Consider the following 16,343-nt stretch of genomic DNA (forward strand, 5'->3'; position numbering starts at 1 on the left):
AACACATACTTGACTCCTTTTGCTGTGAAAGGTAGAACTGGGAAACTAGGCCAAAATATTTGAAATCAGACTTCTTTGTGTGTCATTTTCTCATAGGTGCTTATTGACAAAATGTTCTAAATTCAAGAAAAAGGAAAACAAAAAGACAATTACCCATAATCCCACCACCCAAAACAATGATTGTCCACATGTTAAGATGTATCTACATCTACTTTTTTCAATACATAACTTTATATAGTTGAGGTCATACTGTAGATAAAAGTTTCTATCTTGGTGGCGGTGTTGTCTCCCTTAACATTATCTAGCACGAACATTCAAAATTATCTCTGACTACTTTCCCTTGCTTCCGTAGGTCATCGTCATCCTTAATCACTTTAAACTCTTCCATTGCAGTTTTTCCTGGATCAATTTCTTCTTTCTAGTCTAATTTATACCATTTTAGAGCAGGCTTTTAGACCTTCATAACTTCATTACTACAAGGGCTCCTAACTGATTTGGTCTCTCTCTGTTCTCACTGGCCTATTATATGCTAAAGAAAACCAAGTCAATCTTCTCAAAATACTGCTTAGTCTTTCCTCTGTTCAAAATTTCCAATGACGTCCCCAGCCTCTTCACACACATAACTGCCCCACTTCTCTCTCACCCACACACAAAATCCTTAACCTGGGTCAGAAGACCTTGGACAGATTGATTTACTTTCCAGTCTAGTAACTCTCTGACATGGGCCCTCTGATCTGCCCAAAGTAAGGTTCCCAGCACCTTCACATATTACTAGCACTTTACTATTTGGTCACTAAATGTGTATTTCCTGTCCCATGCTAAGTTTTAGAGATTTAGTGAAGAACAAAACAGCTATGATTTGGGCCCACTTGAAGTTAATACACTAGTGAAGAAAACAGACTTTTAAAAATTACACTGCAGGGCACAGTGGCTCATGCCTGTAATCCAGCACTCTGGGAGGCTGAGGTGGGTGGGTCACTTGAGCTCGAGTTTGAGATCAGCCTAAGCAACACGGTGAGACCCTGTCTCTACAAAAAATACAAAAATTAGCCAGGCATTGTGGTGCACACCTATAATCTCAGATCCTTGGGAGGCTGAGATGGGAGGATCACTTGAGCCTGGGAGGTCGAGGCTGCAGTGAGCCAAGATTGCGCCACTGCACTCCAGCCTAAGCAAAAGAATGAGCCCCATCTCAAAAAAAAAAAAAGCAACAAACAAATAAACAAACACATTAACACACAAAATTACAAACTGGATATGTGACATGAGAACATAATTTCAATGGGGTGGGAGTCGGGTATTCCAGGCAAAGCCAATTCGGCCAGGACATGAACAAGAGAAGAACCAAGATGACGCCAGAGAGATAAGCGAGGTTCCATCCGTAAAGCTGTATTTTCTCAGAACGTTTACTTTCAACGCTGTTCAAGTGTCTTTCTTCTTTCTTATTAACTCCTCTAACTACCTTTTCTTTCCCGTTTCGATTTATATTCTATTTTCTTTTTCCATGTAGCCTAGAGAGGCTCCCTCATATAAGAGGAAATGGACTCTACCATTTCCTGGGATCACTTATGTTCCTACTTATCTCAAGACCTTGATTTTGAGCAGCAACCATACCTGAAACAAAATCACTAAAGAGTGTTGAGTAATCATACTGTTGGATGGATGAACACAGTTAAGTGTATATAATAGAATAAAAAGCCATTATTCTATTTTCAATGGAAGGGGTAAATGTATGATTCCACCATGCCACCAAATTCTTAATTTCATCCATGTCCCTTTCTCAACCCTTCTTTTGTTCTAGACAGCACCCCCTCACAGAATAAGTGAAGGTGGGTAATTAAGGCAATTTGGAGGGTAAGGTGGCGCTGCTAGCTAAGCAGGAATCCTGAGTAAACTTGGCATATTTTCTTTCTTACTAGGTCAAGTATTACTTGGGAGATTACAATGCACTTTTAGTAGAAAAACAGGATAGAAGTCTAATATGGTTAAGAAAAAGAATCTTAATTGCAAGGTACACAGACTGAATCATAATACACAGACTTTATGAAAATCATCCATAATGGTAGCACAAATCACTAGATTTGTGATCAATACGCTAGACTGATGGCCTTATAGCTATAGAAAAAGGTGTAGTATAGACCCTGGAAAGTCGTCAGAGAATAGTCACACAGTAAGACTGTAAGAAGAGCATCTATAAAGACAGGATTATTTTTCTTTTGTAAAAGACCTGGAGGAAAAACAAACAAAGGGTCAATTAATCTCTTTTTAGTATGCAGAATTTCATCTGGAAAAAGCAAAAGCTTTAACTGCAAGATAAAGATATTAGAAAAAAGGAAAAAAATTCATACAATACAAGCTCCTTAAACTGTGAATGAGGTTACTGATGGGACATAATTTACTTGGATTTCCTAAAATGCTAGAAACAGAGGCCTAAACTGGCAATTTTATGGCTACAAAACAAAGGAGAAATTGAGGCCTGGATATAATTTCAATAAATATTTTGATAAGATCTATAGTTTTCCAAAGGAACATGGTGGCTAAGCCACAGGACCCCAAAATGACACTTGAGTCTGAATGAAGAAAACTCATTTATGTGGGAACAGAATTGCCATAAGGACAACAGCTGAGATTTCTGTGCTTCATTAATGTATGTAATATAAATGTAAAATGAGCATAAAACATAATGCAAAATGGGTAATAAATGTAAAGTAATATGTACTTTTAACTATACTGCTAACTTAAAGAACAAAGTAATGTCCTTTATAAAATTCAGTTTTCAAATGTATAAAATAGTGCTGGGGGTGGGTGAGGGGTAGTTATAAAAGAACACATCTATCACATGAAATGCGAATAACAATTTTTTATTTCTATTTTAAATAACAGGAATTGCTCCTCAAACCTTCAAATAAATTAAAATAAATGTAAACCTGTAATTCTACAGACTTCACTTCCAATATTTTCTGTGAAGGTCACAGAAATAAGAACATATTCAGATACTTTTTTTTCTTAATGTAAGAGTATAAAAGTGCTTTTCACTGATCCTACAAAATTGGCTCTCAGTGATAGTTTATAGTTCTTAGTTTTCCACAACTTTTTTTAAACACAACTTTCCTTAAAAGTCAAATTCAAGTGACTCAGTTGGTTTCCACAGGAATATGCTCATTTCAGGTCCTGAGGTCCAGTGGAGTCCATCTAGCTGTTCAGGCATGGCAGTGTGAAGCTAGCAGCCATTCAATAAGATAAGAAGTATGTGAAGTACAATGATTTTTCAAAACCACTTACTTTGTAGAATAAAACAATTAAAAATCTGTACGAAAAGGGTCTAAATGGAAACCTGTTATTTCACTAATTTTCAGTCCTGCCCTGGATATTTCAAAATTTTTAATGCTAATTTGAAGTAATTTTACAAGTTAAAAAAGAAGGCTTATTCTTTTATTTTGGGAGAAAGCCAAGTGAGCCTTAAATTACAAGGCTAATTGTTTCGAGAACTCTGGGTCTCTTGCCTCAACTCCCTTTAGAATTCCAAATTACAAGCATCAAGTGGTCAGCTTTTAGGAGCTCTGGATCCTAGACTACTATTTGAATTTCCAATAGATTAACATTTAACACACGTCTTTAGGGATTGTTTTTATGAAACTCTTTCCACGATTACTTTAAGAGTTCTAAAAGTTGTTAGCGATGAGATTTTTATTGGAGCAATTTCTGGGGTCAGATTTTAAAGTTTTCATTATTTATAAACAGAATATTTTTACCACTCCTATCTCAAATGTCCAGGCCATAACCTCTGAATTTATGAGGGTGGTGGCTCTTCATTTTTGCTAATACGACCAATAATTTTCAATTATACCACACTTCATAATAAGCACACTATACCCAATATAATGATATGTCATTTCAATGTACCTAGCCCATGCACTTCCACAGGTTTAATGGGATTTTGCGTATTTAGAATTTCATCATAAAGGGGCCCTTTGGAATCATTATCACATCAATCCTTTCCCATTGTAAGACTCAGCTCTCTTACCAGGCAAAAGCATCAGGGCTCAAGGCAAAGACTTAGTCTACTCTTAGATTGTAAGCTAGATCCTAATAAAAGCCTTAACACTTGGGGAGAACATTAATATAGGGCAATGATGACACATTAAAACTTTTTAGTGAATCAGGAGATCGTGAAGGCAGGCAACAATTGTGATTAAGAGAAAAATTTCTTATGACGTGAAGTAATATTTAGATCTGCACATTTTATTCACTACTTCTGGGGGAAAGAACTATGTAACTGGGAGCAAGTTAAGTACAAAATAACTCATGTTCCATTTAAGTCACAACTTTCTAACTGTAACTGTCAAGGTTGAATTAATTAGGATATTTAATACCAAGGCTTGCTTCTAGAGTTTTTTTTTTTTTTTTAAAGAGAAGAAGAAAACGAATGGTATTTAGCTAAAAGAGTTGATCCCCAAGTGTGGTGATAAAAACTGTCAACCCTTATGTACAAAGGGTTTTTTTTTTTTTCTTCAACAAATAGTGTGTCAGTGTTTTTTAAAATGAATAAACTCCACTGAACCTCTACAAATCCTCATTACATTACTATACCTTATATACATTATGTGAATGGCCCTTGATTTTTTTTCTCATCTCTTAATACATGAGGGATAATGTATAAATACTCTCATGGTTTATTATGAATGTAATTCCAAACTGTAGGGAGGGAAGAGGGACAAAAGTAGTTCCAGTTAAGCCCCACTGTCCTACGGATTTTAATCAACCTCAGTTGACATGTAGCTTTCAGGGTATGTGGATATACATACACATATAAACACCCACAATTAGTCCAGGGTAGACACTGAGCTCCACTCGAGACTATACAGCCAATATTTCAAACTGAATGGCATTTCCCCCTGTGGCCTTACGCATAATAAAGTCCTCAAAACAGACTTTGAAAAGCATTAAAGTCTGACTGAGGCACACATAAAAGTATTTCACCACTCGGTTGTTCAGAAGCTCTCTCTCCTGGCTAGTAGATTAAACAGGTCCTTGGTTATACTTATTCTCCCGCTTCTTCTTTCTTACATGGCCCACTTTTGGGGGCATGCCTTTGCTCTTTTGCAGCAACTCCACATGAAGGTGGTAACAGGCAAAGAGAAAATTTTATCTGCAAATTTGACAGTAGATCTAAGAAGAGATTTAGTAACTGAATCTACTTGCTGAAACCAGGTTTGGGAATTATTATTATTGCCACTGCTGTTCTATCCAATCTCCAGTTGCCTCAGCCAGCTTAAAGTTGGCTACACAAACCCTGCTTTATCCAGTTTATGTACCAATGGATTTAATACACAGTACACTGACTATAAAACATATCTCATTTTAAAAGTAACTATTGAGATTTGCTACCTGAATTAACTATGTACATCCTTTTATTAAACAAAAATACGAATTCTTCTGTAAGAAAATAATCACCCTACCCCCCAGTTATTCACTTTAAAGACTTAATTTTCTTAAAGGAACATATATCTATATAAGAATTTCATTAAGCAAAAAGTGCAAAGGCAAGGCATATTTACTATTTGATAAAATATATGCTTTAAACTATCACATGTGAAAAAATATTTCAAAATTGAGAGTCGTGGTATAAAAAGCCAGCATCTGGTAGGGAAATATCTAAAAGAAAGAAATTATTATACTCAGTCTTGAAAAAGAAAAATGAATGTCACCTTTGTGTCACAAGTAATTTTTCCTCCTTCCCCCAGTAATTCAGGCTGAAATCTCACTCTAAATCTATAATCAATCTGTTTTCCCCACTGTAATCCCTTAAAATCTCTAGGCTATCACACACACTTTTGGCACTGACGTGTGTTTTCTTCTGGACTGCTGGATTTGCTTAATGCATATATCAAGTATCAAACTGCTTTGTATCAGTAACCGGTGGGATAAAAAGACCCTATGTAAAGATTTCCTCATAAAAACGGGTTAAGAGGGCAGTCCTAGGGCTTAGGAAAAGTCTAACCTAACGAAATCTTAAATGCACAAGTAGAAAATGTTAAGAACTAAAGCAGTATCTGCCGATTTTTCCACTAATGTGATCAACATATCATTGAGCAGATAGGGAAACCTAAAGTTACCATCCCATTCTCTATTAGTGGGCTGTTTGACATGTATGAGTTATCAACAAGGCAAAAACTCTTTTGGGATTTAGACCATTGGCAAAACGAAAGTATTTTATACCATCACACATATTTAATGGAGCGCAAACTTTCAGAAAAGAAGTGACATCTGAAATAATGTGAATAAAGAAACAGAGGGGATATATTGGTTAGTGCTTTGAATTCTGTTTACTAATTTGATCATGATAGTAACCCTAATTTCTAATTAGAAAATTTCTAATTAGATAAGTTCAATTAATCAGTACCAACGGGCACAATCAAAAGAGTCAATACAAATTGTAAAATGTAGCAATTTTTCCTTGAGATATTTTACTGTATTTAAAAACCAGTAAAAGAAAACACTTGCCAAATTCATTTAGTCTCTGACTGAGGCACACATATGTGATCTCCTAATTTACAGCTTGCACATACAGATGTTCACACTTAGTAAAAGGGCTTCTTAATAGCTTTTTTTAATTAAAAGTGTGTTGATAATAGGTGTTTTAAATATATCCAAACAACACAGCTGAACTGACAAATGCCTGTCTTCATGCCTCACCATGTCTCACATTGTAGCAAGATTTTGTAAGAGAGAAAAGGTTATATGATTCATTCACATATATATAGGATAAATGTTATCCCCCAAGAACTCCAAATGAAATCTTTCATTAATTTTTCCTTCTATGATCTGTTTCCAAGTAGAAAATGTTAGATAGCTACTCGGTTTATGTAGCCGAAAGCAGAACCACACAGCCGTTGCTTGCTGCCTGCAGTTTTTTTCCTTTGCAAAACTTTGAACCCCATCCAGCTTTGACACACTGCCTCTTCAGTTAATAACTATCAAGTTTCCCCTTGTCTCCTGTCTACTTTTCTTTGAGGCAATTGCGCACTCAGCACCCCGAGATAATAACACACATCTATAAGATAAAAGCAATGGCATTAATGTAATTGTCTGCCTCTCTCTCTTTAGCCTAATCTTTTTTTTCCTTCAGTTTTGACTGCCTGTGTGACACCTGTTTTTGTCTCCTCTGATCCTACGACAGGTTTTCCGCTGACAAGGTTTTTGCCTGACACAGATTCTGCAGACAAGAACATAATAAAATATGAAGAACTGCTTGTCAGAGTTTCTGCCAATGCTCACATGAAATATAGAAAAAAAAATGACTTTTTTTTTAAGGGGCCTTGTGATGGTCGCTTTTGGCATGTCAGAAAAAACACCTCCCTAGCCAAGTTCTCCAAGCCAAACAGGTGTTTTCTTTTATGTTAGAGGTTGATTTGTTTTTTAATTTTTACTGATAGTGGAAAACACGATTAGCCAAAAGGAGGCGGGTGGGTAATGTCTTACCCTCAGATTTTTGCAGGCAAAGGAATATAAAAAAACTGGAAAGCCGAAGGTATTTCACTCAAGATCTTATCTTCTGAATAAAACAAAAACACCAACATCTGTTAATGATTAAACAAATTTAACTTCTCTAAAATTTACTTCCTGGATGTTTGGGCTGCTAAAACCTCCCACTTACCTTTCACTTATTTTGTTGTCTGAAGACAGAGGGAAACAGCAAAGGTGAAAATAGAATGAGAACTGGAAAAGAAAAACGCACAAATGGGCATAAAGACAAGGTGTTTGTGGGCTGTGCTTATACCTTAAAATGGGAAGAGGCTGCTGGAAAAGCAAATGGCAATTAGGAATCTGAGTGAGACTTTTCCATAAGCTTAGAGTTTCAATAAACCTTTGTTCCATGCACCACATGAGATGCTGCAGTATGTTCCAGCACACAAAGGTGAAGTGCCCTTCCTGAGCTTTTCAAGTTAGTGGAAGGATCAGTATTACCCAGAAACCTCTGGTCTCAGCAAAGTGTATTGAGAAAATAAAGAAGGGAGCACTTAATTGCTCCGGGGGTGGGGAGTGGTGGTGCAGAGGGGAGTAAAGGGGTGGGAATCCCACTTTCTTGATGAACAAGGCACAGGAAAAACTGGCCAGGATCAATAGTGCAGCAAGCGTCAAAGTACGAAAAACTGGGAAAGAGTTTACAGTGGTGACTCAAGGGACAAGAGCCTGGATTTAGGGTGTTAGGATTATCACACCAATTCTAACTACTCTGCCACCAAACCACTTTAACCTAGGCTTTAGCTCTCCAAATATATTCTCTCATACCTAGAGCCTACGATTACCACGTCTAATGGAAATATAATTTATGGCCGGGCACGGAGGCTCACAGCTGTAATCTCAGTGCTTTGGGAGCCAGTGCGGGAAGATCATTTGCATCTAGGAGCTTGAGACCAGCCTGGGCAACAAGACGAAACCCTATCTCTACAAAAAATACAAAAATTAGCTGGGCGTGGTAGCGCACACCTGTGGTCCCAGCTACTCAGGAGGCTGAGGTGGGAGGATTGCTTGAACCCAGGAAGGGGAAGTTGCAATGAGATGACATTGCACCATTGCATCTGGGTGACAGAGCAAGACCCTGTCTCAAAAAAAAAAAAAAAACAGAAAAAGAAAAAGAAAGAAATATAATTCAAGCCAAGATACAGAATTTTAATTTTTCTAGTTTCAAGTAAAATAGTAAAAAAGTGATGTTTAAAAACGTATTTGACATGATAAATCAAAAATATATGGAAGAACAACTCTTAATGACTATTTTACATTCTTTTTTTAAATAAGATGACAGCTCCAAAATTTGGTGTACACTTTATACCTACATCACATCTCAATTTGGACTAGCCACATTTCAAGTGTTCAAAGCCATAACAGTGGCTTCCTTATTGGACAGCCAGGTGTAGAGTTGCCTTTACATTTCTTGGCGAGTAGAATCTAAGGCCCAAGACTGTCCTTTCAATTAGATGGGTTTGCATTTAAATTTGTAGCGTCACTTGACTGTACAGAAGGCAAAGAGGCCCATGAGGTCAAAGTGGGGATCTCCCTGGGTACCAGGGAGCAGCTGAACGAAGAGAGGAATCTCACTACTGGGCCTTTTAACAAATACTGGTTACAAGTCTATCCAGTTGTGGTAATACTTAAAGTAATACTTAAAGCACTTCTTATACAATTCTTTGGGTATATGCGAACTAATAACAAATTAATTCAAGAACCTTTTGAAGATATATAAACATCTACAAAGGCAAAACCTGGTAAGAAATGGGATGTATAAACAACATTTTAGGGCTCCCAGAATACAATTCAGAGTTATCTTTGAAATACTGTACTTATCCAGCAATTTCACACTTCAGTAAAGAGGGGAGAGGAGTTAGAAGTCACCATTTATGACATAATAGAGAAGGAAGAGTGGTTGAAAGGATCAACATGATATTGCTGAGGCATATGGGGTCCTTACGACCCAGCCGAATCTCCTAGTTTATCCTGAGTAAAAGGAGAGGAGTTGAGTGTGTTTCATTTATAAACCCTTCAATTTGTGTTCTGCTTAACCTGGTGAACTCCAGTTAATTAAGATGCTCCTATAAACAATTAAGCTTCCTGTAGGATCGTTAGCAAGATATAAAAATTTATGATGTAATAAAATGCAATAAAATGATAAAGTGGCGAGCCCATCGAAGCACTTCACATGCAAAAAGACAGGTGTGAAAATAGGTAAAAGTAGCCTTAATCCTACCTAAAATTCACCTACTTATAGCTTTTGGATTTTTAGCAGGTAAATATTACTATAATTTATTTTAACTGGCGCAATTCTCAAAATGACTTTTGGTGTAAAATATTCCTTACTGTGTTCAAATAAGGGCTCAAATGACATTTTAGGGGAAATGGAAGGTATGGAACTATACTGGATTTGCTTGGGAAAACAATTTCACCTACGGAACACTTGGTCCAACAGCCAAAAGAACTGGTGACCTGACCTCTGCAACTGCATACTGAAGAAAACCTTCCCTGGAAGGAGAAATAGTTTCATCCCAACACATTCCACATTCGTACCTTAAGGGAGACACTAGATATTATCATTAATATTGATGTTTAATATTATTTTATTGACTTAGCAATAACAATACTAGCTCCTAAAATTGTTGTGCCAGAATATTGGGCTAACCCTACTCTTTCATGTAATCCTCTCTCAAAATGAATCTGTGTTATTTAGATGCATTGCTATTATTATCCGAATTTCTCGATGAAATAACTGAGTCTTAGAGAAGGCATTACTAACAAAAGGCAGAGAAGGGATTTGACCACTGGCCTGGCCACACCCAACTTTTAATCACTCTACTTTGCTAAAACATGTCTATCATGTCCACAGTGTTGAAGTCTTACTTTTATAGGAAGTTAGTGATAACAGCAACTAACACTTATTAAGTGTATACTATGTATGAGGCATCTGGATTATCTCATTTAATCTTAGAAGAACACTATGAGCTAGGAGCTATCATCACTCACATTTCACAGATGACAGAACAGAGAGATTATACAACTTGGCAAGATTCTACCTACAGTAGGTGACAGAGCCGCGACGTGAATGTAAACAGTCTCATTCAAGAACAACATTCTTACCTATTTTGTATATTGCCTCCCATTCATTCACCCGAAGCGGGATACAGCTCTGTGTGTTTCATTCTCAACACCCTCCCACGAAACTCCTTACCAGCAGACCAGCAGTGACTACACTGGAGGCCAGGTCTTGCCAGCCTCACTTTATGTTCCATCTGAATAAAACATAGCTAGGAAAAAAAGAAAATCTGGGGAGCTAATAGGCAGACAGCCCAGGACTTTGAAGGGGAGGCACTGTTTGCGCTGGGTTTAAAGAAAATTTAAGGAGTGCAAAGCACCATCCAAAAAGTGTGCAGGCTGAGAAACAAATCAAAAGCTGCTCAGAGACACAATAAGAAAATACTTAGTGCCATTAATCAAGCACCAAACCTTTGCATTTATGAGGATGTCTTCCCTTTAGAGCTTATCAGCAGTGATCAGCAAGTAAAGGAGAGAGGCAGAAGAGGGCACTGTGCCCTCAGGTCAAGCCCAAAAAAGCCTCCTGTGCCAGGCAGGAAAATGGCCTTGCTTTTGCTCTCTAAAACGAAGAAAAAAGTCCAAGGACTTTGCTCATGGAGAGACCAGAATCCAGCTGCCTCACCAAAACTAGGAGGCAGCTAAAAGCTGTTTTCCCTGAGCAAAAGAGAATTTTGCAGCTAGGCAAAGCCGGGTTTCAGCATTTACAATCTGGAAAAACTAAGTCCACTAGAAAGACAAATTCTTTAAGCAGATACTGCACCAGCTTCCGCTTTTTCCAAACGAGTGCACCAAGGGAAGAAGACGATAGTGTTTCTATCCTTGTGTTTCTGAACAAAGCCCTAGAAACATTTCCCCTAAGGATCTGGTTCTTACTTTGCCACTGCTAAGCATGTACTTCCCTTCCCCTGAGGACTCAAATTAGTGCCTGTGCTACTGTTCACCAAACCCTAAACACCCCTCTGGAAAAAAATTTCTACGAAAGAAAATGTTGTTTTCGTTGGGATAGTCTCCAAGCCAGAGCTTGCTGGGAACATTATCTCCCTTTGTCAGACGAAACTTAGTTGTTTTTTAGTCTCCTCTCTTTATCTTGACACATTTACAAATTATCATATGGACACTGTTGTGGAGTCACTCAGAATGAGCATGATATCACAGAAATGTCATGCTTTATTCTTATGATAAAGGAATTTCTATGCGGAGTGGGAAGGAGAGAAGACTAGGGAAGAAAAGAGATTGGCAAGGAAAAGACTGGACTACTTTAGTTATGCTAGGTTTTGGACTCAAGTCAGGGAGAATATTAGAGAGTTACCAGTTGGGAACAAACCACTTTCACAGATATTTAGACAATTTATAAGAACATAGACTGGGACAAATAATAAAGACATGTGAACTTTCATAGGACAAAATGAAAAATTACTTGTTTTGATCTGCCTTGCTTGTAAGTCCTTACAAACTACCATGCCTCCAACGAACTTGAGGAATTTGTAAATAAAATACTGAGATCTCATGATTCTAAATGTAGGACTGATATAATCAACAGCTTTTTTTGTTGTTGTTGTTGAGATGGAGTCTCGCTCTGTCGCCATGCTGGAGTGCAATGGCACAATCTCGGCTCACTGCAACCTCCACCTCCTGGGTTTAAGCGATTCTCATGCTTCAGCCTCCCGAGTAGCTGGGATTACAGGTACGCACCACCACACCCAGCTAATTTTTGTATTTTTAGTAGAGACGGGGTTTCACCATGTTGGCCAGGATGGTCTCAATCTCCTGACCTCCTGATCCACCTGCCTCGGCCTCCCAAAGTGCTGGGATTACAGGCGTGAGCCACCGCGCCTGGCCCAAAACCTTTTTGATTATAGGATGCTTATGACCAATAGCCCTGATTTAGGATTTATGCAAATTGAGTCTGAATAGGATTTTCTTTTAGGTATGGGCTTGCCAGATTTAGCAAATAAACATAAAGGACTCTCACCTAAATTTGCATGGTAATATTTATATTTAAAATCATTTATTGTTTATTGATATTCAGATTCAATCAAAAATTCTATATTTTCTATTTGGGTGAAGGTCTCTATAAATACCCCTGGTCTGATAAGACATATCAAGTACAAGCTGAAAATTCAAATTCAACCATGCTGAGAAAAAAAAAAGAAAAATTATATCCAGTGAATACAAAAAAAAAGGTTTGAAATTAATGGGTTATATGCATATTAAGTCTTACAGTACATTAAACCATAAAGCTGGTTGGTATATGATACTAAATTAACTTTATACTTCTCATCATTTCCGTGGAAGAACTGAAGGCTACCTGGCACAATCCTTCATGTATGAGATAGGTTTAATAAATATCTACTGACTGATGATCTGGATGATGTAGACCAGGTCTGCTTACTTTACATTAAAAAAAAATCAGGAGTTTGGAGAAAATATAGGCAGGAAAAAAGCTGGCTTAATTAGTAAATAATTAAAGTAATAATGTAAAACTATCTTTTCCTCGAATGAAATGCATGCAGTAAAAGGAAATCACATTTACAGAACATAATAAAAGAAAGGTCTCAAAATTCCAGTGCAACAAGCATTCTTGCAGGCAGACCTCAGCCAAAGGAAATAACACTGGTATTAATTCAGATCTCTTGAAAGTGAATGAAGATTCTAGTATTCATGCAGCTTGTTGGAATGGTATATCCTTTCATTTAAAGTCAAAGAAAAAAAAAGAAAATAATTTGCACAGAGAAAGCTGCTGTGGGTGCGTTAAGCTATAAAATGTATTTTTTATTCATCAAGTCTCATATTCTTGCCAAATGCTCACCTCACATACCTAGGAAACAGTGGAATTAAAAAAAAATTTTTTTTTGTTTTTTTCCAAAAAAGAGATGGTCTTAACAAATGAGCTTCATCAGAAGAAAAAGTTACTGATCTAGTTTAAAAAAAAATTCTAAATGAATTACCTCTGTAAAATCTGCCCACCTCTTTTATCAAATACACAAATCAAATATCATGGGATAAAAACAATTTTCCAGTTGTACTGGATTATCATTAAATATTTCCTAAAACGCCTTAGAATTCAGTTTGTTTTCTTTCTTATTTTTACTATTTTATTTACCTTCATCTTAATGGTTTAGAAATAAAGTCCTCATCTAAACTATGGACATTAAAACTAACTTGCAAATATTAAACAATAAAAATGGTTTCGTGCAGCAGTCCTCAACCTTTACATCATGCCTCCTGTTTTTTTTCACGAAGACAGCAAACTCCTATTGGTAATGCTTCCTGTTAGAAGCAGGTATTCTTCAAGGGAGAATAGTAAGTAGGACTCACTCCCACCTGCACCCAATGCTGAGTGTATTCTAGTTGTACCAGCTAATTTTTAACATTCTGTAAAATATTTGGCTGAAGTCTGAATTCTGTGAATGGCCAAATTGCTACTCTAGTGTGGAGGCAAAGGGTAAAAAGAAAAAAAAAAATTACATCACCAGAAAAGGAGCCCATTACTGCTCTTATCCTGATATCTTAATCTTATTTTGCCACTTTCGAACCAAAAAGAGCTCTAAAAAACTTTTGTTGTTATTGTTTTTCAAGCCATACTCAGATTGTTTTAGGTGAATGAAGGAAACGCACTGAGAAGATAAAGCAAACAAGGGAAAGTAAAAAATATAGTATTTATAGTATTTCAGTGAAGTAGTGGCAGTAAACTGGAGTCCTTTTACAGAGACTTGACAGAATTAGAAATTCTGAGCCATTTCTGGCCCATCAACTAAATTATTACAGACTAGGTATGGCCATCTTTTACCAAGAGAAAAAAAAATGTTTAAGTAAATTCAATAAGCCCTGCTTTCTATTATCAGAGTGAAAGAGCTAAGATTCCTTAATGTGGGCAGGGTGGTGGTAAGGTAGGAAATCCTTTATTAATTTAGTGGGAAATACCTACTGGTATTCAGAACTGCTCTGAGATTCCTTCCTCCCTTAACTCAATAGTGCTAAGGATTTTAAGAAAATACTCTGTGAAAAGTAACACAGCCCACTAAGTATTAATAATTTCAAAACCCAGGTGTTGCAGTATAATGAATTAATCACTCTTTAATTTATTATTTTTTTTTTATTTTTGAGACAGAGTCTTGCTCTGTCACCCAGATTGGAATGTGGTGGCATGATCTCAGCTCACTGCAGCCTTGACCTCTTAGGCTCAATCAAACCTCCCACCCCAGCCTTCAAAGTAGTTGGGACCGAGAGCACACGCAAACACACCGGACTAATTTTTGTACTTTTTGTAGAGACAAGATTTTGCCATGTTGCCCAGGTTGGTCTTGAACTCCTGGGCTCAAGCGATCCACCTGTCTCAACCTCGCAAAGTGCTGGGAATACAGGCTGTCAGACACACCACACCCAGCTTTTAATTTTTTAGAAACACATTTCTAAAGATTTTTGTAAAGTAGTTAACGTCAACAACTTACGCAGCTTTAGTAAGCAATCTGTAAGTCAACAGAGAGAATGTGCGTGTGTTTCTGTGTGTGTACATATACAGAGACACACATATGTGCATATATATGGTAGATAATGACCCATGAAATCCAACATCTTAGGAATGAACTGAAAATGCTGTTAACAAGGATAATTTATTCAAGAAAGGAGGTCAACAAATTTCTAAAAATCTGTTTTAGAGAGAATACATGATTTTGGCATTTGGTTATTTTTTAGCAGCAGATATTAAAAATTTTTTTATTGACATAATGACAGGTAGAATGCATTCAGTGCTACCATGAAACCATTCTGGGCAATGTATCTTGGTAGTTTTGTTGCTGTTCCATGCATTTCAGAGGAAAATTACACACTAGAAAACCCAAGTCACTTCCTCATTGCCCCACACCCAGGACACTGCACAGTATAAGGCAGCCGGAAAGAATGCTGTGTTTCACCTCTGAGCAGAAGTCATTGGAGACACGATTTCAGGGTTTCTGTGCAGAGAGAGGGAATGAAGCAATTAGTTGTAATGCTAGGGGCAAAAAGAGTGGGTGCTGTCATCCCACTGCCAACTCCAAGGCTAGAGGCCAACCCCTCACTGCTGTATTTGGCCTCATGAATGGGGAGAGTGTGGGATTCACATGCTTGGGTGTATGCATTTTGAGCTGTATACAGATATCTCCCTGTTGTGGGAAAAAAGAGGTCAAGGTGATAATTGTAAAGGAAAGAATTAGAATACATTTTGCTAAGGTCTGAGAAACACCAAAATTAATATCCTAGAAACATAGAATTTTTAATGGTACAGTAGAAAAAGCACAGTCTGGTGTAACAAAAACATCTTATTCAAGTTGGGTGAAAAATGACATTCTTCAGAAAGTCCTCGAAACAATCACTGGCCAGGAATAATTTATGTTGTTCAAGAAGGAAAAAACATTGCTTTTTCCTTTACATTACTAATGTAATATGCACATGGACATTAAATAGATAAAACAAACTGGTGACACAGTTAACTTTTATACTCCAAGGCTACCATAGTAGATAGATAATGATAATACAAGATGGCTTTGGCAAAAATGAGAGCGAATAAATGAAACGCCTTTGTTCAACGACTGGCCTCCCCTTTAGTGCTCATCTACTGTCCATTTTACTTTTAATATGTATTAGTTAGAAAGGCTTCATATATTTTCTCTTTAATTTTCATAATAAGACTGTAAAGTAGGAACTATTAATCCTATTTTACAGGCAAGAAAACTGAAGTCCAGCAATATTAACATGTCATGAGGTGACAGAGCCAGGATTTG

General features: G+C 37.1%; 1 protein-coding gene across 40 annotated transcripts in view; it reads right to left on the reverse strand.

Moving 5' to 3' along the window:
- Nucleotides 1-16,343, reverse strand: part of BNC2 (basonuclin zinc finger protein 2) — a 461,168-nt gene that overhangs the window by 155,110 nt on the left and 289,715 nt on the right. Inside the window, exon 1 of one of the 40 annotated variants that reach the window (XM_047423509.1) lies at nt 7,658-8,472. The exons of the other annotated variants lie outside the window; for them this stretch is intronic. The gene's annotated coding sequence lies outside the window, so the exon portion shown is untranslated. Of the gene's footprint in view, nt 1-7,657; nt 8,473-16,343 lie in introns of those variants that run through there. 40 annotated transcript variants of the gene reach the window in all.

Source organism: Homo sapiens, chromosome 9 (assembly GCF_000001405.40).
Source record: "Homo sapiens chromosome 9, GRCh38.p14 Primary Assembly".
Taxonomy (NCBI): Eukaryota; Metazoa; Chordata; class Mammalia; order Primates; family Hominidae; genus Homo; species Homo sapiens.